The sequence below is a fragment of the Homo sapiens genome, chromosome 7, assembly GCF_000001405.40.
Source record: "Homo sapiens chromosome 7, GRCh38.p14 Primary Assembly".
NCBI classification, from domain to species: Eukaryota; Metazoa; Chordata; class Mammalia; order Primates; family Hominidae; genus Homo; species Homo sapiens.
In genome coordinates this window covers 65,683,415-65,706,248 of record NC_000007.14, presented here as the reverse complement: position 1 = coordinate 65,706,248, position 22,834 = coordinate 65,683,415, and the positions used below count along the sequence as shown (strand labels likewise).

Below are 22,834 nucleotides of genomic sequence, written 5' to 3'. Positions count from 1 at the left end.
TGAACAGGACTTCTCAATTAATCTTATTCTTTTAACCCAATAAGCTGTATCTATTATGGAGAAAGATGAGACTAATGGTTTGGGCTAAATGAATTCCCATCCATTTGATCCAATTCTTGGCCCAAAGGCTCTGTGTCCCAGATCAGTGCTTCTGGAAGCAGAGGACAGGAACCATGAAACCTTCACCAGAATGCGCAGGCAAGCCAGCTTCCGGGCTCTAGGCACTCCTTGTTCCCAGAGCCACTGGACTAACCCAAGCCACCTAGATACTTCTTCCTTGACTGTGGTTCTTTTTTCTTTTCCCCTATGCTCATTATGTTATAAGCCCCAACCACTTTACCAACATATTCAACTAGAAATCAAGCAGCTTTCCTAGATTTCTCCCTCTTTCAATCTTCTACATTCAAAACCACCACTAAGAGCCACGATTTTACCTTCCATCTCTCTCCTCACCTATCCATCCACATGACCTCATCTCTTGCACAAACTTCTGTGACAGCCTCTTATTTTCTCAGTCCTTCTGAATTACAGATGTAATCAAATGACATTACAGAAAACCTAGACTAACACTGTCCAATAGAAATATAACATGAGCTATATATAATTTTAAATATTCTCATAGCCACAGTTTTTAAATTACAAAGATGTAAGTTAATTTTGAAGATACAAAGACTAAGTTAATTTTTTTAAAAAGTTTATTTAACCCAGTATATCCAAGATATTAACATTTCACCACGCAGTATTTTTTAAATTATTAATTAGATAGTTTACATTTTCTTTTCATACTAAGTCTGAGAAATCCAGTGTGTATTTTGCACTTAATAACACATCTCAGTTTAGACTAACAACTTTTCAAGTGCTCAAGAGTCCCATGTATCTGGTGGCTATCAAACAGTGGTAGGTCTAAACTACAGATAAACTATAGGAATTTCTGGAATATTTACTTCTAATCATTTCTTGTATGCATGTTTTTTGACAGTTGTAGTCAGAAAGCAGAATTAAGTTTGGGGATTAGATCATAATCCCAAAACATACAATCACAAATGTTGAAATCCTGACATCCAAATTCTGGGGAAGTGATTAGTGTGTTTTGGGTTGCATGCAGGATAGTTGCATCATGTCAGTTGTATCATGTTAGGCACAACTATTACCATGTTATTGTCTTTATTTGGAAATTAAATATGGCTTAAGGAGATGCGTATGAGTGCCAAGCTGACAAGGGGTGGACTTGTGGACCTAATTTTAGGTATCAGCTTGACCAGATTAAGGAATATCAGAAACCTGGTAAAACATTATTTTGTTTTACACATTGAGGGTGTGTCTATGAGAGTGTTTCCAGAAGAGATTAGTGTATAAATCTGAGTGTACTAGGTGGAGACTATCTGCCCTCAATGTTGGCGGGCACCATCCAATCAGCCAGTGGCCAGGAGAGAACAAATACTTAAGACAAAATGGGCTGGGATCGGTGGCTCATGCCTGTAATCCTAGCACTTTGGAAGGTCGAGGTGGGTGGATGACCTGAGGTCAGGAGTTCGAGACCAGCCTGACCAACATGGCAAAACCCTGTCTCTGCTAAAAATACAAAAATTAGCCAGGCGTGGTGGTGCACACCTGTAATCCCAGCTACTTGGGAGGCTGAGACAGGAGAATTGCTTGAACCCAAGAGGCAGAGGTCGCAGCAGTGAGCCGAGATCACGCCACTGTATTCAGCCTGGGTGATAAGCTGAGACTCTGTCTCAAAAAAAAAAAAAAAAACAAAAAAAAACAAAAAACAAAAAAACGCAAAATAGCAAAACGGACTCTCTGGGTTCTGCTGCTTGGATATCAGAAATCTGACTCCATGAAAGTGCATTATCACAATACTGACTTTGTGTATAAGCATTGAGTGTGTACATAAAATGTTGAAACTTCCTCGATAAATGAGATATCCTTTTCGTACATCTGCATTTGTGAAAGATAAAATTTCTTGAGATCTCAGCTCTTTGGGTGACTGCATATGCAGTGGTGACCCAGCACAGTTTCCATCAATCTCATCAAAAGACTTGAGGTTGTTGGGCACAGTATTTCAGATGACCAGAGTTAAAAAGCTGGGTATACACAATTAACAACCAAAGTGATATGCATTTATACCTTTCCCTTTATGACCAATTTCTTTATAAATATGGCTCATCTGCTCATAACTGTTAGACCCACCCAAATGTTATTAGTAACCTGAGTGTTTATGCTTGCAAAAATGTATGTTATTATTGTCTGTTTTATTATATTAAGTGGTGTATAAAGTATTCTGTTGTGTTTTTATGTTTCTCAAATAAGTTCCCCTTTAAAAAATAAATATCTTTAAGTTTTTAAAACTATTTCTTCCATAATTATATTTTGGGGATTTTGATATTTTCTGGGCTGTGGTTTTCGGATTTTAGACTTTAGGGATTTTAGTCTTTTGGAATTTAAACACTTTAGGACTATGATGTTCTGGACTATCTTTTGGGATTATGATTGGCTCCCCTTCTTTTCGGTACATAACATTACACCCTAAGTATTTTGTCATGTTGTTGTATAATTCTTCATAAAGAATTAATGACTGCAGAATATACTGCTAGGTAGCTGTACCAAAAGTTATTTAGCTTTTTTCCTGTTATTAAACACACTTGCCTTGGGTTCTGGCTCTGGGCCCCTTACCTACACTGTCACTCCTTGTCATTGAATAACCAACAATTATATGTTCTTTTTAGGAGTAATCACTTCTCTTTCCTCACCATATTTTGCTACTATAGAAAAGTGGATTCTTCTCCATGGCCTCCTTGAATTCCTGGGGTTTCACAGAGGCTTGGAAAAGCCAAACAACTTTGCAAAGGGGCATGAAGGAACTTCTTGGAGTGATGAAAATGTTCTACGACTTTAAAGAACAGATGTTCTTTAAAAAAAAATTTAGTTTTTTTGAATAGTTAATACATACTTAAGGTATAGCATTCAAAGGATATACAATTAAATTAAATTAAATTAGTTCCCCTTCCTACGCCTGTGCCCTGTAGCCCTGCCACCCTGTATACCTTCCCAGAGGCAACTACTATTACCAGTTTCTTTTGAATTTTGAGATATGCCATGCATTTACAAAAAGTACTGGTTTTCTTTGCTTTCTTCTTTTTTAGGGGAGGAATGTGAGTGTGTGTGTGTTTGTGTATTACCTAACCATCTCAGCATTCATAGAAAGCTGCCTCATTACTTTTTAATAGCAACATTAAATTCTGAATAGAAATGGAAACTGTGGGAAACCTTAAGGTCTGAGTCACTTGGGAAGCTGTTTCAGAGCCGGCATAACACATCAGGTTTCACAGTAGCCTGGAAAAAACTGTCCACTGGACTATGCCACTTCCTCCCATCTCATGCTTGGTGGGTAACGTTATGATAGTTAACGATGCCTCCTGGGGACTTTGACATCAAGAAGGAGATGCCTACAAAGGGGCAAAGAGTAATTACTCTCAAAGTGATTGAAGAATTAATGTATGATATATATCACTTCTTATTCATTTGGGTTGCTTGAACTGGTCCTGGAGGGCCTACCCAAAGCATGGGAACCCAGCACAATGAAAGCCAAGACCATAGACTAGCTAAGCCCAACTGTGAAGTATGAGTTTGGTGGCCAGATGGTCTCTTCCTTTCACTTCTCTGATTTTTCTCTTGCAAGAGACAGCCCTGAAGTATTCTACTTCAGAAGCATTTGTGTTTCCTCTCCAGGAAGATTCTGCCTTCTACGACAATTATACAGAATACAGACCAACTGACTGTACATTAACTAACTGATTCCAAATGTTATTTTATTCCCCTGCCCCAGAATTGTAGCAGTTGTTCTGAAGTGCACAGAACAAGATGTAACCCAATCCAACACAATTAGCCATAAGAAATCTGAACTTCTGTACAAACAAAAATGGAAACTTGTTAGCTCTGGGAAAAATCCTGTGTCCCAGTGTTTCCTCTCTTTGTCACTTTATGCTCACAATTCTTAGGAAGCCTCAGTCTAGACATCCATCAGGAGACTACGGGCTCTAATGAGAAAGGTACACTGAGCACATTCTATGTGCACTGTACTGTGCTAGCTGTTTCCTTACTTGAGCTCACTTAATCCTCACAATATGAATTGCAATTAATCCTATTTCACTGAACAGGAAACTAAAGATCAGAATTTAAGTGGCTTGCCTAAGGTCACAGAATAAACAACAAAACGACATGAACTAGACAGAGTCAGCTCTGACTCCAAAAGTATTTTTTTAACCATATCATATTGCATCTCATTTATTTATTTGCTATTAAACTCTTTTCATTTATTTATTAATTACATCAAACACAGATGAGACCAAAACTAATTTAAAACTAGATACGGCTAGGCGCGGTGGCTCACACCTGTAATCCTAGCACTTTAGGAGGCCAAGGTGGGTGGATTGCCTGAGCTCAGGAGTTCGAGACCAGCCTGGGCAACACGGTGAAACCCCATCTCTACTAAAATACAAAAATTAGCCGGGCCTGGTGGAGTGCGCCTGTAGTCCCAGCTATTCGGGATGCTGGGGCAGGAGAATTGCTTGAACCTGGGAGGCAGAGGTTGCCGTGAACCGAGATCGCACCACTGCACTCCAGCCTGAACGACAGAGGGAGACTCCATCTCCAAAAAAGAAAACAACAACTGGATACACTGGGCCACTTTTCTTTAGATGCTATCAGGCAGAGCAAAACAGTTCCTCCCAGGAACACACACATTAGCAATCTATATGATGCCACTATGCCACTATGTGTAAACACATTTACATAGAGTGATTCTTTTTAAGCTTACACAATAGGCTGAATTAATTATTTAAATCACTATTAAAGATAGTCAAAAAGATTCTGGATGTGCAAATCAAATGCAGTTTATTTTTTTCAATCTCTTAGAATCTCTAAAAATCAAATTTATAATTATGTCTCTTAGTAGCTTAGTAGAGCAAAAAGGAATGTTAGGAAATACAACATAAATACAAAGTCTTGGTGACTTCTAAAACGCCATCTTTATTCCTGCACCTAGATGATGACAGATTACAAACGCATATTTCTACTCTTTAATTACTAGACCAGTTCCAATACTACACAATAGGCAGTCTCCCTAAAAGACAATAAAAGTTTCAAAGCAAAAAGAGGATTTTAAAGAATTCAACTAAAAAATCCCATGTTCTTCAATGGTTAGTGTGTAAAAGAATTCCCATAAGAAAAGTAGTACATTTCTTTCTATCTCTGATAAATGAAGCCCCTTCTGTTTCAGGTTATAATGAGCTATTTTACTCCAAAAGAACAATTCTCTATTATGGAACACTTCTAAGGTGATATGGTTCCTGAAACAACAGTGTGTATAGCAACAGCACTTTCATGGACTTAACACAAAAATGTAAACTTTGAAAAACAGGAGGTCACTATTCATACTGAGAAATAGCAGACAAATGACTGCAGCATTCCTTAAAAGACAATCCCCTTCAACCCTGCTAGTGAGTTTAAACATGATTACATTTATAAAATTTGATTTAGTTACAAAATGTCAAGAGCATGTCCAGTATGTTAAATAAGCCATAGTTAGTTTAAATTTTTTTTTTTTTTTTTTTGAGATGGAGTCTCGCTCTGTCGCCCAGGCTGCAGTGCAGTGGTGTGATCTCTGCTCACCACAAGCTCTGCCTCCCAGGTTCGCACCATTCTCCTGCCTCAGCCTCCCGAGTAGCTGGGACCACAGGCGCCCGCCACCACGCCTGGCTAATTTTTTGTATTTTTAGTAGAGACGGGGTTTCATCGTGTTAGCCAGGATGGTCTCCATCTCCTGAGCTCGTGATCCGCCCACCTCGGCCTCCCAAAGTGCTGGGATTACAGGCGTGAGCCACCGCGCCCGGCCAGTTAGTTTAAATTTTAAAGCAAACATCCATAAATGTCCAACTATTATCTATGTAACTGATATTCTCAAAATGCTTTTACCACATATCATTACAATCATCTTCACAACAGTTCTACAGGTGCGAGCCACAGCATCTGGCTCATAGGTGAGATCTTCATTGGGTTAAGTGGCTGTTTGGATTACAAAACAGGGCACTGTGTATGACAGTGAAATTTGTTTTACACTCATACTAACAAATACGTGGCTCCAGTCCTCATCAGAGAACCTTCTGTATGAAAGGCTAACATTTCACTCCATAACAACTCAGAAAGTGTAAGTTGTGGAGAACCCCAGGGGTCAACTGATCTAATCTCATGTGATACAGGAACCCCCTGTAAATCACTGCACATCACAGAATATGGATTTTAGAGTTGACAAAGCTGAACTCAAATCCTCGTTCTGCCTCTTCTTAGCAAATTACTTCATGTCTGCAATGATGGTTGTAAAGCATCGCAGGTGCCCTCACTGCTATGGTCCATCTGCTTCCCTTTCCAGATTTTTCACCATCCTGCCTGTGCTCCTGAATACACACTCAAGCTAGAAACACAGAGCCCCGAACTTAGGACAGTGATCTGGCCGGCCACTGCCTAGCAAGACTATCATCTCAGGAAACCCAGACCATGAAGGCGAGTACCTTCTAAGAGCCAGCACTGCAGCTGATCACCAAATTGGCTAGCTTTTGTGCCTTTTGCACTTGCTTTAGTGCCAACAGGATAAAACTGTCAAGGACAAAATCTAAATGTTTATTTACGTGGGGATGAGTCAGGAAGTAGACTTTATTTTACTGGGCTCAGGGCCAACAACCTCATTCAGTGGCCTCCAAAACTAAACACTTTGTTGAGGGAGAAGAGAAATCGCTCCACAAGAGATATAGAAAGGACTGGAATCTCCGCTTACAGAGCTGTGGACTGCCCAGAACTTACAGCAGGGTCAGCAAATTTTTTCTGTAAAAGGTAAAATAGTAACTTTATGGTCTCTGTGGCAACTACTCAGCTCTGTGATTGTAGCATGAAAGCAACTATAGACAATACCTAAACAAATGAGCGTGGCTGTGCTTCAATCAGATCTTACATACAAAAGCAGGCAACAGGCCAGCTTTGGTCCACAGGCTGTAGTCTGGTGACTCCTAGTTTAGAGTACTGTTACTGGCACATCACAGGCACACAATAAACATCAAGTATATGATTCAATGTACAGTGGCAAGAGAACAAACTGTCATGCTAAAATCATTTCAACCTTAAAAATAATTCAGCTTTCCCTATCTTTTATTGTTACTGATTACAGTGATGGTATTCAGGTGAACACTCTGCCATTTAGAATATCATTTAGCCTTAGCCTGTGCAGCTAATGCAGCTTCTTCACACCACACAGCCATCTTTGACATATTTCAACTTGTTAATGATTCATGTTCGCAGCCCTTTTGGCTGATGCTATCACTGCAAAGCAGTGATATGTGTGAGTCCATTCATTACGGTAACAAGCTTTCCCTCAAGCTTTGTTTCTTGCAATATCTATCATTTCTAGTGTGATCTCCTCCACTGATTTTTAAAAATCCAGTCAACAGTAGGATTTTCTTGTTGAACTGTGAAGGCCTGTGCTCGGTAGGGACTTTGTGAATCATCCCTGCTTGGGTCCCAGAGCTACTGGAGGGCCCATCACTGGAGTGGCTGGTGAGACCCTCCAGGGCATGAGAGTTGCTATGGGCCTCTGTGTGGCTTCTAGAGGCTTCCCAGGGGCACAAAGACTATGTGACCCAGGTGGAAGCTCGGGAGGCTCACGCTGGACACATGCTGCACACTCTGGCTCCCCTGTGGCTGCAGCTGCACCCACCTACCCAGCATTCTCCCCACGACCTGTCCAGCCCAAGCCCACGGCACTCCCAGGGGAGCCCAGGACACCCTCAACTTTTTAGTGGATTACTAGAGTATCAGACCACCCATTTATCTCTCAGTTCCTCACTCCCACCCCTGCACCCAGCAAGTCACCAAGTCCCCCAGGTGAGTAAACTGGAGCTAACAGCAGTTGGTACTTACGGCATATACTGGATTTGGCTCACTCACACGTGGTATTCCTATCTTCATCTACTGTATCTTCCTGGACTACATAAGCTGCAAAGTTAAAAACTGCATTTCTCAGATTCCCTTGAGCTAGGTTCCAGACGTGATTTATTATCAGTCAATCAAACACATTCGCATGAGTTTTGTATAGGGAACAATGTTAAGTCGGAAGAAAGGCAGAATGCAAGACACGGTTCTGGAGCCAGCAGCTTTATTGGTAGCATCCTGACTCAATAGGCAGCTTTCCTGATAATAGCAGGAACATCAGCCTCCTTGGTGGCCCACTCATTGTGTGGCTCTGGAAATCATTCCTGGATATTCCACCTAGTCTGTTTCTTTAGCTTTCCCAACAACTCTGTGAGCCATGTAACATTCTGTAATAAATTTCTTTCTGCTTAAATTAGTTAAAAGCCTCTTTTGTTTTCTGCAAATGAACCCTGAGCAATATAGTTGACTAAGATCAAACAACTACAAGTCATGCGTTGTTTAACGATGGAGATACATTCTGAGACATACACTGTTATGTGATTTTGTCTCACAAACATCACATAGAGTATATTTACACAAATCCAAATGGTATAGCCTACTACACACCTAGGCTATATGGGATAGTCTGTTGCTCCTAGGCTACAAATCTGTATAGCATGTTACTGTACTAAAGACTGTAGGCAACTGTAACACTGGTTACAATGGTAAATATTGGTAAATATGGTAAACAATGGTAAATATCTGTATATCTAAACATAAAAAAGGTACAGTAAAAATATAATCATGGGACCACCACAACGTTGTTATTCAGTGCATGACTGTATTAGCTCAGACGTTAACCAAAATGAGTCTGCCTTCAAAGCTCCATTCACTCAATCTCTATACTACACCACTGCAGTTCTGGGAGGCTGTTCTCCCTCAGGTCTCCCAGCTCTTCTAATGTCTGCTGAAGTTGGAATTCTCTTCTGCACATGGACTACGAAACTGACATGCTCAGTTATCATTTCATACTAGCTAAAGGATCTTCTCCTTTGTGAAGCATCCCTCACCACTACTACTGTGATGGGTCGGGGCCTTTCATCTGTTTTTCCACAGCATCTATGCTTCTCTTCACTGTATCATTTATCAAATTGATGATTTCTGCGTCCTGTAATAAACAGTGAGTACCTTAAGAACAAATGTCATTTCTTATTTCTCTCTACCCTCAGCAACTGGCTTATTAGAATAAACAAATAGTTAATGCTGCTAAGTGAATGAATGACCTAATATAATGGGAAAACATAACTTGGAGGATGGTTCAGTTGGCCGGCTTTATAACATGTTAAGATGCAATAATGGACAGGAAAGCATGAACAAAGTACAAAGCGCTGTTATCCACCATCATAAGTCTTTGTCTATATCCATCTTGTCTACATGGGCTCTCTAAGGGCAGAATCCTAGCTAGCTGATCTGTATCTAGCACAGAGCTTGTTTCTTAGTGTATGGAATGAAATCATCCACTAAAAATTATTAGTTGAATGTGGCTGGTGCCAAATACTCTTCCGGGCAGATCAAAAGAGATCTCAACCAAGATACAAATGATATAATATAATATTTTTCTTTCTTTCTTTTTTGTTTTGAGATGGAGTCTCACTCTGTTGCCCAGACTGGAGTGCAGTGGCATGATCTTGGCTCACTGCAAGCTCCGCCTCCCGAGTTCAAGCGACTCTTGTGCCTCAATCTCCCAAGTAGCTGGGATTACAGGCTACTATTTTTAGTAGAGACGGGGTTTCACTCAGCGGGGCTGGTCTTGAACTCCTAGCCTCAAGTGATCCTCCCGCCTCGGTCTCCCAAAGTGCTGGGATTACAGGCATGAGCCACTGCACCTGGACGATATAATATTTTTCTCTTTTAAGAGCAAACAATAAAGAATTTAAACTCATTTGCTTTTAGCAAAAGCAGTACTGTTTGCTCTTAAAAGACATAATTTTTTAATCTTTTAAGAGCAAACAATACTGCTTTTGCTAAAAGCAAATGAGTTTAAATTCTTTTCATATCATTCAGGCCATTTTGAGGAAGGTCTGGCAGAGCCTTTTGGTTGTTCCCCAATATCTTTCTCCCATTCTTCCTGAGTATTAGAGTCATCGCATGTAAACCAGGCATTAGTCACCCAGAATAAAGACTGCATGTCCTCGCTCCTTGAAGTGAGAGATGGCCATGTGACTTAAGTTCTAGTCAATGGAATGCAAGTAAAATTAGAGTGTACAACTTTTGGGAAGTGTCTTTAAACAAACCACAGGGTGGAGATGATACCTTTCTCTTCCCGTTTCCTTTTCCCCACAGGATGGAATACAGGGGGGACAGTTAGATTCTGAATTGTTAAGCAGAGCTGCTTGATGCAGAAGATGAAGACACAAGAAAGAATGAGCCTAGGCCGGGCACAGTGGCTCACGCCTGTAATTCCAGCACTTCGGGAGGCCGAGGCGGGAGGATCACTTGAGCTCAGGAGTTTGAGACCGGCCTGGCCACCATGGTGAAACCTCGACTCTACCAAAAAAAAAAAAAAAAAGCCAAAATTAGCCGGGTGTGGTGGCATATGCCTGTGGTCCCAGCTACTTGGGAGGCTGAAGTGGGAGAATCACTTGAGCCCAGGAGGCTGCAGTTGCAGTGAGCTGATATTATGCCACTGCACTCCAGCCTGGGTGACAGGGTGAGACCCTGTCTCAAAAAAAAAAAAAAAAGAATGAGCAAGCCTAGATCCTTGATGGTCATCTCAGCCCTGTCCTGCCTATGAGGAAGACTTAAACTTTGCTCCTGTTTTAGCCACTGTTACTTTGCATTTTGGTCACTCATCCTAATATATAAAATTAAAAAACTAAAAACAGGTTCTTTGTAACTATTTTGTTGTGTACTAATCATCAATCGAGTCATGAATATAAAGAGCTCTTTTAAAAAATATGTTCAAACCACAATCTAATCCAAATATAAACAGACCATAAAACCGTGTGTGAATGTAGACCAATAGAGTCAGAATATCAAGCCTAGTAACCAACACCAGAATTCAGAACAGTCAAGCTGAGTGTAACGGCACTAACTCTGTCAGATGAAGGGATGATTACCCTACCTGATGGTGAATTCCAGCAGCTCCTGGGCTCCCTGAGGGTCCAAGTGCTGAAGACTATACACTCTTTCAAGGCTCTGCTGCAGGAACTGCTGCGAAGGATCCTCTTGAGGTATGATGCTGGGAGAAACAGCTGATGACACCAGTTTTCTACCTGGTAACTAAGCAAACACAGTGGGATTATAGAGTCATTAAGTTTGGTGGCTCAGCTTTTGGTAACACACACACAAACACATAAAAGCACATTAAAAATGTGAGCTAAACAAAACAAAGGGGAAAAAAGGCTAGGAGATTCTATAAATAACATTTCTCCCCTTCCTCAGCAACAATTGGGAGTTAAAGAGAAAGAGACAAAATGCAAACATGGTCTACCCAATACAGCCACAGCTGCCAGGAGAAAAACAGAAAAGGTATAATATTTTCTATTGCTAACTGAAATAAATGGGCCAACCATAGGAAGGAGACTAAAAATTAAACTGTTGCTACATCTTTTTTTTTTTTAGACAGAGTTTCACTCTTGTTGCCTAGAGTGCAATGGTACCATCTCGGCTCACTGCAAACTCCACCTCCCAGGTTCAAGCGATTCTCTTGCCTCAGCCTCCTGAGTAGCTGGGATTAGAGGTGGCCGCCCCCAGACCCAGCTAATTTTGTATTTTTAGTAGAGACAGGGTTTCTCCATGTTGGTCAGGCTGGTCTCGAACTCCTGACCACAGGTGATCCGCCTGCCTCAGCCACCCAGACTGCTGGGATTACAGGCGTGAGCCACTGCACCCGGCCACATTTATCTTTAAAACACTATCTTATCTTTCACTTGAAGGAAGAGTAATGATTTATTCCCAAATAAACTTATATAGCATACAATTTTTTCATGAGAATAATTTTTTTTTATTTTTGGCCTAGCCCTTCAGATATTCTTACTGTTAAAAGTGGTTACCTTTTAAGATGGATGGGGAGGAGAGAGCAAAGAGTATTTCACTTTTCAATTTGTATCTACTTGTTTTTTGTTTTTTTTTTTGAGATGGAGTCTCACTCTGTCGCTCAGGCTGGAGTGCAGTGGCACAACCTTGGCTCATTGCAACCTCTGCCTCCTGGGTTCAAGCAATTCTCTTGCCACAGCTTCCCGAGTAGCTGGGACTACAGGTGCCCACCACCATGCCCAGTTAATTTTTGTATTTTTAGTAGAGATGAGGTTTCACCACGTTGGCCAGGCTGGTCGTGAACTCCTGTCCTCAGATGATCCACCCGCCTCAGCCTCCCAAAATGCTTAGATTACAGGCATGAGCCACCGCACCTGGCCTCATTTTGTATATTACTCCAAATAAAGTGATTTGGAGTCACCCAAGCAGGGATGAGTTAATGCAAATAGAGAGATTGGAAGAGTACCTGGGCCACAGCATTCACGAAGTGTTTGCTATTATTATTACGATCCATTTTTAAATTTTCTTCTTTATATCTCTAGGTTTTAAAAATAGTAAAGGTTTTATTTTTAAAAAATAAGCACTTCTGGAGAATCATGGCTATATGTAATAGTTAAAATATAACAATTTAGGCTGGGTGTGGTGGCTCATGCCTGTAATCCCAGCACTTTGGGAGGCCGAGGCAGGCAGATCACGAGGTCAGGAGATCAAGACCATCCTGGCTAACACGGTGAAACCCCGTCTCTACTAAAAAATACAAAAAATTAGCCGGGTGTGGTGGCAGGTGCCTGCAGTCCCAGCTACTCGGGAGGCTGAGGCAGGAGAATGGAGTGAACCTGGGAGGCGGAGCTTGCAGTGAGCCGAGATCGCGCCACTGCACTTCAGCCTGGGCGACACAGCGAGACTTCGTCTCAAAAGGTAATAATAATAAAAATAAATAAATAAATATATAACAATTTAAATTCTTGATCTAAAATATAATCTATTGTTCCAGGTTCCTTTCTTCTTGCCTAATATCAATAACCCAGGGACACCAAAAAAAATGAATCATCTTAAAAGGTAAAGGATACAAAAGCAAAAGTATAAAACAATGGCAAAGAGCCCAAGAGAGAAGGAGAATGAACAAACAAGTTTTCAGAGAATATATGGACTGCTTTCTACTATTTAATAACCACAAAGCACAAAAAATAAAAAGCCAAAAACAAGCTGCACACAATGGTGCTCACCTGTAATCACAGCGACTTGGGAGGCTGAGCCAGGAGGATGGCTTAAGCCCAGGAGTTTGAGACCGCCCTGGGCAACATAACAAGACCCCCATCTCAAAGGAAAACATGAACACAAATACCCCTACCCCATGCAAAATAAAAACAAGGACAACAGATGTTTTCAACATACCCTCAAGGCAGGAACAAGATGAGAAAGACTGTCTCGGAGGTAGGCATAGTGCCTGACGGTGTGATCTGAGAACAATGCTCGCATTGTTGGACAGGTTTTAGCAGCATTGAAAATAAGTACCAAAACTGCAATATCTGATAGATCACTGGGTTAAGTAAACTTGGAAGTATAAAAGGTTGGCCAGATTCTGGCACTCTCACTTTCCACCTCCAAAATCTCCATCAAGAGACTATGATTTTCTAATAATCAAAGAAATGCAAATACAAACAACAAAATACATTCCCCTACTCCACCCACACCCCCAATTACCAAAGGTTTTTAAAAATGCCAGAGACTGCCAAGAATACAAAAAAATGGAAATGATTTTGCCTATAAAGTAAGCAACTATATTGCCTATCAAAGTACATACTGGCCAGGCATGGTGGCTCACGCCTGTAATCCCAACACTTTGGGAGGCTGAGGCGGGTGGATCAGTTGAGGTCAGGAGTTTGAGACCAGCCTGGGCAACAAGGTAAAACCCCGTCTCTACTAAAAATACAAAAATTAGCCGGGAGTGGTGGCAGGCACCTGTAATCCCAGCTACTTGGGAGGCTGAGGCAGGAGAATCATTTGAATCCAGGAGGCGGAGGTTGCAGTGAGCTGGGGTGGTGCCACTGCACTCCAGCCCAAGCAACAGGTTAGGAATTTGAGACCAGCCTGGCCAACATGGTGATAACCCGTCTCTACTAAAAATACAAAAATTAGCTGGGTGTGGTAGCGGGCGCCTATAATCCCAGCTACTCAGGAGGCTGAGGCAGGAGAATTGCTTGAACCCGGGAGGCAGAGGTTTCAGTGAGCCGAGATCAAGCCACTGCACTCCAGCCTGGGTGACAGAATGAGACTCTGTCTTCAAAAAAAAAAAAAGGAAAGAAAAGCAAAGAAAAGAAAACTCAGACCACCCTAGCTACACTGCAGAAGGAGATGCCAAAGCTGCCTGCCAACACATCAGGGCCCATCCTAAGCACAGAGGATACAAGCTGGATCATCCATGTCTGGTTCAGCTGTGTCAAAAAATGGGTGGGTGCTCAGAAGCTCTGGCACCAAGGGAAGCACCAGGGTTGGATGCCGACTTCCCAGAAACTTCAAGCACCTGAAACAAACAAATAAGAATGCACATCAACAAATTAGTAAAGTTAGTCCTTTGAAAAGTACTAGGAACTGGAATCAGAAAACCTGAACTGGAATTGGAAATTCTCAACCATATACTTTTGCTAACTCTATGACTTCAGATAAGTCACCCAGTTATTCTGGAACTTGGTTAATTCATCTAAAAAAACTGGTTATTATAAAGATAAAAGAACTGTTTATTTAACCAACAGCCATTTCCCCCATCTTTCTTCCTGAGAGAGCCCTGATTTTACTCAGGTATCAGGCAGGCAGCAAAGTGCTCGGAAAAGGCAGGTCCAGCCCAAGAGCTGAACCACTATTGGTCTAAACCCATCATGGCAACCCCATTCCCATTTTCCAGTGACTGGTTTGCTGGTACGCAAGTAAGCCAGTTCTAGACAATGGAGCACGAGAGTATGCTGGCTGGGGAGCTTCTCAGGGATGTTTTTGCAAATCAAAAGAGCAATGCATGAAAGGGAATGACCCTTCCTTTCTGTCTTGAGATATTATCTTATGAGGCAGCCATCTTACAACCATGAGAAGAAAGCCGGCCGGGTGCGGTGCCTCACGCCTATAATCCCAACACTTTGTGAGGCCAAGATGGCTGGATCAGGAGGTCAAGAGATCAAGACCATCCTGGCCAACATGGTGAAACCCCATCTCTGCTAAAAATACAAAAATTAGCTGGGCATGGCGGCACGGGCCTGTAGTCCCAGCTACTCGGGAGGCTGAGGCAGGAGAATCGCTTGAACCTGGGAGGCGGAGGTTCAGTGAGCCGATATTATGCCAATGCACTCCACCCTGGCGATAAAGAGAGACTCTGTCTCAAAAAAAAAAAAAAAAAAAAAAGAGCCAAGAGAACTGCAGAGAAACCAAAGAGAGCCCTGGTAACCTGTTGAATGACCAATCCTGAAACCAACCTTCTGACCTCGTTATGAAAAAACAGACTTATTGGCTAAGATATTTTTAATCAGATTGTCTTTTTTATTTGTGGGCAAAAACATTCTAATTGATATCCTGGGTGAAGTCCTGAAATCACAGATCTGTCTGAAACTAAGTAGCCTTATGCAAGTAAATTTTTTCATCTACAAAATGAGATTAAAAGTCATTACTTCATAGAGTTGCTATATGCATTAAATAACTAACATAAAGTACTCAGCAAAGTGTCTGTCACATAGTAAGAACTCAATGTTAGCTATTATAACTACCTGAGGGCCCTTTATAAACTATAAGGAACTATACAAGCAAGGTAATTATACATTTTTATTATTGTTTATGGTTTTTTTTTTTTTTTTTTGAGACTGAGTCTTGCTCTGTTGCCCAGGCTGGCATGCAGTGGCACAATCTCGGCTCACTGCAACCTCTGCTTCCAGGGTTCAAGCGATTCTCCTGCCTTTGCCTCCCGAGTAGCTGGGATTACAGGCATGTGCCACTACGCCCAGCAGATTTTTGCATTTTTAGTAGAGATGAGGTTTCACCATGTTGGCCAGGCTGGTCTTGAACTCCTGACCTCAGGTGATCCACCCGCCCCAGCCTCCCAAAGTGCCGGGATTATAGGCGTGAGCCACTGCACCCAGCCAATTAAGTGCACCTTCTAAACCAGAACTTAATGAATAAAAAATAATAAGGCCGGGCACAGTGGCTCATGCCTGTAATCCCAGCACTTTGGGAGGCCAGGGCAGGTGGATCACCTGAGGTCAGGAGTTCAAGACCAGCCTAACCAACATGGTAAAACCCCATCTCTACTAAAAAAAAAAACAAAAATTAGTTGGGTATGGTGGCGTGCACCTATAATCCCAGTTACTCGAGAGGCTGAGGCAGGAGAATCGCTTGAACCCAGGAGGCAGAAGTTGCAGTGAGCTGAGATCACGCCACTGCATTCTAGTCAGGGTGACAGAGCGAGACTCCATCTCAAAAAAAAAAAGTAACAAAACAAAACACTATATAGGAGAAAGAGGAAATCTAATTAATTTATTTCTATACTTGTAACAGCTACCACAAGGGTTGGTGCGTAGTCAGCACACAGCAGGCACATAATATTTGCTAGGTGGATAGATGCACAAATTAGTAAGTAATCTAAAATGTGATATTCAGCTTAGGAATCAGATTCCTGAGAGCGGTTAAGTTCAATCAGGTTTCTAAAGTAAAGGCAAAATTCAGGGCCGTACCACCCTCAATCTATAAGGACGGAACAAATGTCAGCATTGTACATTTACCACATTATGCGACTCAGTGAGTAAATGGGCAAAAAAGTCATTACTTCCATATGGAGTCCCTATCAGTAGGGTACTTGGTTAAATTTTTCAGCAGCTCCACCAATGCAAGATGAATCCCTTCTTTGGTTGAAACATTAGTACAGCATAAGAGTTCATGAAGAGCCTCTCGAATATCTCTGGCTGAATCCTTTTAAAAAAAAGTAATAATAATAGTAGTTACTGTTGGTTAGCAGACTCAGCCTCTATCTACCATCCCCTTCTCCCCAGCCACCTTCCCATCTAGGGTGGCCATGTAACAAAGTATGTGGAAGTTTTTTGGATGAAATTCCTGAAATATCTTTCATTTTATTGATAAAGGACCAGAGGCAGTAGCTTTATCCCCTTTCTTCTTTAACCTTCCTTTTCCATCCTATCTGGGACTCAATCATGATGCTGAAGGTACAAGAGCCTTTTTGCAACTAGGAAAAAGGACAGGCTAAGAAGAAAGGCTAAGAGAGAGGCTGGGAATGGCCAGTTAGCAGAACACTCAGAACACACACACTTACTAAGTTTGCCATCTTATACAGGCACAGTTTGTGGCATCCCAAAGCAATTACAACAGTAACATCAAAGATCACTGATCACAGATCACTGTAACAGATGTAATAATGAAAAAGTTTGAAATATTGCAAGAATTACCAAAATGTGACACAGACATAAAGTGAGCACATGCTATTGGAAAAATGGCACTGATAGACTTGCTCAATGCATGGTTGCCGCAATCTCTCAATTTATTAAAAAAATACAATATCTGCAAAGCCCAATAAAGAGAGGTATACCTGTATGTGCTAAATGGAGGAGTGAGGGAAAGAGTCGATCTATCTGAAGTGAATTTCAAGATTTCAAGAATGAGAAATGTTAAAAGAGAGGCAAATCGAAATGTCACTCCTATCCATAAAATTCTGCAACAGTTTTCCATAATGTTAGAATAAAATCCAGACATCTTAAAATGGCCTACAAGGCTCTCCACCTCTCCCTAATCCCCTCTCAGACTTCATTTCATGCCACATTTCTACTTTCTCACTGTGGTTCACTCCTACTGGCTTTCTCTCTATTCTGCAAACACAACAAAGCTCACTTGTGTTTTAGAGCCTTCCCACTAGCTGTTGCCTCTACCTGAATTTATTCTCCCGGTCTTCACATAGCTAGCTTCTGTTTACCATTCAAGACTCAACTTGAACATCATCTCCTCAGAAAGTCTTTACTAACCACTCAAATTACAGAGAAATTCCCCATTCCTCCATCATACTGTTTATCTTCTGCAAAACATTTATCACCATCTGAAATCATTTTGTTTGTTTACTCCACCTCTCTTTAGAATATAAGTTTTATGACAGCAGGGATCCTGTCTGTTTTGATATCCCTATATTTCTAATACATAGACAGTGCTTGTTGAATAAAGAAGTGAGTTTTTCTAGGCAGGGTAGGATCTTGACATAGCAGGAAAAAAAAAAAAGGCAAATTCCACCTGGAAGGGTCAGCAAGGTAAGGCTCAAAGCAATGAAGCACAGTGACACAGAAAATATAAGGGAGCAGTGCACAGCAGGGTGGAAGAATAGTCTACTGTAAGTTTATATGGGTCTGAACTCCTGAAAAGAATTAAAAAGCAAGGATTCTTTGTGAGTTATATACATAAGTACTCACAAATAAGCATACCTGTGAACAATTCTGTACATCAAAACATAGCTTGGAACATAGCTCAGCTACTCAGCAAACACTTGCCGAGCACCTAATTGTGCCAGACACTGCTGCAAGACATTGGTAATAAAAAAATGAAGAGTCAGCTGGGCATGGTGGCTCACACCATAATCCCAGCACTTTGGGAGGCCAAGGTGGGTGGATCACTTGAGGTCAGGAGTTCGAGACCAGCCTGGCCAATATGGTGAAACATCATCTCTACTAAAAAAATATATATAAAAATTAGTATTGTAGTGCGTGCCTGTAATCCCAGCTACTCAGGAGACTGAGGCAGGAGAATTGCTTGAACCCAGGAGGTGAAGGTTGCAGTAAGCCAAGATCGCACCACTGCATTCCAGCCTGGGGAACAGAGCGAGACTCAGCCTCAAAAAGCAAAAAACAAACAAACAAACAAACAAAAAACAAAAAACAAAAAAAAAAAAAAAAAAAAGGAAAGGAAAGGAAAAAGGAAAAGAAAAAGGAAAGGAAAGGAAAACAAAAGAGAAAAGAAAAGCCAAGACACCTTGAGGAGCTCACAGTCTTATGAAACAGAGAATTACTGAAAAATGCTAGAGCAGTATACACAGAGTGCTATGGGAATAGAGTGGTGGCATTTAGCCCATCCAGGGCTGGGAGTAACAGTTAGGGAAGGCTTCCTGGATATGTTACCTAATATAGGCTGTGGGAATAAGTGGACGTCTCCTGGGTTAAAGTGGCAGTTTTGCAAACTGAGGGGGAAATTACATTGAAGGTAAAATTGTGAGGAAAAGCCATATGTGTAGGAAAGTGACTTCAGCATAAAGTTCAAGGTGAGGAATGGTGGAGAAGAAAGCTAAAAAGGAAAGGAGTGGCTAGGCTATGTATGAGGCCACCCATGAAGAACCACACATAGAATGTAAACTTATTTTTAGGAAAAAATACATGAAAAAATTATAAAGATTTATAATTCAGGAAAAATCTTAGTAGAAGTGCTAAGCAGCTGAGAGAATGGTAGGGACCTTCAAAACCAAAGCACCAGCTATTCTTTAAAGTATGCAGTAGAAATCTGTTACAAGTGTTCTAAAAACTAAGCACCTAATTACTATCCCTTTCACATCTGAACCCCATCTTCCCCAAAAAGGAAACCAGAGGACAAACCCCATTTATGAATACTCTGAAGAACTTGAGTAGTTGCAATTAAAATCCAGACATTTTAGAAAAATAATACAAGAACTACCTAGAGCTGTACGGCCTGGGAAGCAACTCTGTGTTTACATTTTGGTTCAGCCACTAACTCAGACAACTTATTTTTTTCTCTATAAAATTCTCAGGGTAGAATGAATCAATCCCTAAGAGCACTTGCTGCTATAACAGCCTATGATTCACTACAAGAATAAAATCAAATTAAAGGTTGAAAAGAACTCTTCATTATTTAGCCCCTACCTTATCTATAGCCACTTCCTCCACTCTTCCATCTCTTCAACTCTACGCTATCATTATAATAAACTCTTTTTAGTTCCTTGAATATATCATATTCTGTCTTATCTCTGCATCTTTAGACATTGCTCCCTCTGTCTGGTACCCTTTCATCCTACCACCAGTGTCACTTCTCCTTTAAAAAAGATGCACTTCAGCTTGAGTGACAGAGTGAGACCCTGTCTCAAAAGAAGAAGGAAAAAAAAAAGCCCAGTTAAGTCCTATTCCTCCTTCAAGTGTCCACTACAGCACTTCCTCCTTCTTCCCAACCTCACCTCAGCCAATTCAGGTTAGACACTATGTATTCCCTAGGCATCCTATCCTTTCTTGATCACAGAAAGACCAAGCTTATTCAAATTTCCTGTTTCACAGTCAATTTCTTCCATCTTAGGGGAGGGATATGGTGAGAAAACAGAACTGTGCTGCCCGATATACTGTTCTGTCACCAATACCTGATTTTAACGGGCGGGGGGGGGTGAGGGATGAAGAAATGAGTAACAAATTAGGAACACTCACCTCTAGCACAGCCAGGACAGTGTCAAGCTGATCTTCTCGGAGGGTGATGTTGTTAGAGATTTTTCTCATGGTATGTATGGACTGCAGACGTACTTCCTCAATTTCATCGTTGAACATGTCAACTAGGAAATCAAGGCACTTCTCAGCAAAAGAGGGTGAAGACTGGGCCAACATGCAGAGGGCCTCCACAGCAGCAATACGAACCTCTAGAAAAAAGAACAAATGAAATTGCACATCAGGCTGGGCACAGTGGCTCATGCCTGTAATCCCAACACTTTGGGAGGCCAAGGTAGGCAGACCACTTGAGCCCGCCTATGCAATGTGGTAAAACTCTGTTTCTACCAAAAATATTAAAAAATTAGCTGGCTGTGGTAGTGTGCGCCTGTTCTCTCAGCTACTTGGGAGGCTGAGATGGGAGGATCACTTGAACCTGGGAGGCAGAAATTACAGTTAGCCAAGGTCGTGCCACTGCACTCCAGCCTGGTGACAGAACGAGACCCTATCTCAAAACAAAACACACAAAAAACAAATTAGCCAAGTGTGGTGGCGCACGCCTATAGTCCCATCTACTTGGGAGGCTGAGGGAGGAAGATCACTTGTGCCCAGGAGTTTGAGGCTGCAGTGAGCCATGATTGTGCCACTACACTCCGTCCTGGTGACAGACTGGGCCCCTGTCTCAAAAAAAAAAAAAACTCCAAAAACAAAAAAACAAAAACTGCACATCAGCCAGGTGCAATGCCATACACCAAAGTCCCAGCTACTCAGGAAGCTGAGGTGGGAGGATCATTTGAGCTCAGGAGTTCAAGGCTGGCCTGAGCAACACACTGAAGCCCCATATTTTATATATATATAAAGTAACTCATATCAAATTAAGAGCCATGGGAAAAGTCCAAGATGGATTCATTCTCCTTCAGGCTGTCTTCTATTCTCTACTCCTCTCATTCTATAAACTCTCCCTGGGAGATCTCTATGCCCACAGTTTCACATACCACCCACCTTAACATCGATCTAAGAACATGGACTTTAGTATCACAAGGACTATGGCTTAAATCTGACTCCACATATATGTGATGAGTCTGTCTACATGTCTGTCTACATTAACTTCTTGAAAATTAAATTGTCTTACTTATCTCAGTATTCCGACCACAGTACTTTTTAAAAAGTCAGTTAGTAAATAATGTTATCATTATTATTAAGATTAAAGTAGACTAAATATCATTGTTCGAATTTTACAGGTAAGATTCAGCAACGTGGATTAACTTGCCTCAAAGTGAATGAGGGCAGGACTAGGACCAATACTCAGGTCTGTTGATTGTAGGCTAAAATCATATAGTGGTTAAGGATACATGCTTGGAATGATAGAGGTCTCAGAGCACACTGTAGTGAATGATCCCTCCACTAAGTTGGAGGGTGATCTTGAATAAGTAACTCAACTTCCTGGCACCTCAAATTTCTCACCTGGTAAATGGACATAATACTCATTTCCTTACAGAGTTGTTAGGACTAAATGAGATAATACAGGTAAAGCACATAGGGACTCTGCCTGGCATATTTTAAGGGCTCAATAAGTATCACCTAGGGTATAGGTTTGGGTTCTGTAAGCACCCTGAAAACAGAGGCATGTTTTCCACCCCTTGGCATGCTCAGAACATGTAAACAATAAAGCCACTGATCCGAGGAAGCCCTTTCTTCATTCACTAATAAATGGGTCCTGAACACGTACTATATGCTAGGTGCAGTACTAAGGGCTAGGATACAAAGATGAGAAATGAGTAAGACACAGAAAATGCTCACAAGACTTCTATACATGGTTGTTTTTTTCTAGTGATTCCCATATGCTTCTGTAACAAAATGGACTATTCCAAAACAAACAAAACAAAAAGTACCTAAAGTTGTGGTTAAAACTCACAAACACAATTTCCTCTTTGTATAAAGAAAGGTTTTATAGACATGTTAAAAGTAGAGTTACTACATTAAAGACAGATGATTCAGGTTTTTCTTGGTAGTTATGAATTCCTCCTTTTCATCAGAAGAGAACAATTTTCTTCATTTCACAATAATATAATTTAAACATGAAATTGCTAATTATAAGGCAAGCTAGAGATAAACCCAAACATGTTAAGTGCTGGCTCTTCCTCCTAGAATTTTAACCATTACACCACACTGACTCATATGTAACGTTTGCAAGTCCACCAAGGCAATCAGGAAGGAATTTCTGATCAGAAAGAGATAATCAGTGTGACCTCAGCTGATACAGTTCCAAGCAGAAGCAAAGAAATGTGGTATTTTACTTTGCCTGAACGGCCAGACTATAAGCAAGAAAATTGATATTTTCCACTGAACTTTTTGGAACGTTGAAGATACGTCGGCCAGGCATGTCACGCCTATAATCC

General features: G+C 41.2%; 1 long non-coding RNA gene and 1 pseudogene across 2 annotated transcripts in view, besides 1 other annotated feature; one reads left to right on the top strand and one right to left on the bottom strand.

Moving 5' to 3' along the window:
• Positions 1 to 22,834, top strand: part of LINC03006 (long intergenic non-protein coding RNA 3006) — a 123,801-nt gene that overhangs the window by 64,562 nt on the left and 36,405 nt on the right. The window lies entirely within an intron of this gene.
• The window catches only part of INTS4P2 (integrator complex subunit 4 pseudogene 2), a 70,835-nt pseudogene that overhangs the window by 12,440 nt on the left and 35,561 nt on the right, over positions 1 to 22,834 (bottom strand). The window contains exons 5-9 of the transcript NR_027392.2: positions 20,442 to 20,647; positions 16,799 to 16,941; positions 14,406 to 14,521; positions 13,393 to 13,526; positions 11,084 to 11,241 (exon numbers count right to left, since the gene is read on the bottom strand). The product of NR_027392.2 is annotated as an integrator complex subunit 4 pseudogene 2 (transcript). The remainder of the gene's footprint in view (positions 1 to 11,083; positions 11,242 to 13,392; positions 13,527 to 14,405; positions 14,522 to 16,798; positions 16,942 to 20,441; positions 20,648 to 22,834) is intronic.
• Positions 6,279 to 6,573: a silencer, noted in NCBI's record as "tiled region #6763; HepG2 Repressive non-DNase unmatched - State 2:TssF". NCBI's record gives its function as "represses a minimal TATA promoter and a strong SV40 promoter by Sharpr-MPRA in HepG2 cells {active_cell/tissue: HepG2}" and the evidence as "EXISTENCE:reporter gene assay evidence [ECO:0000049][PMID:27701403]".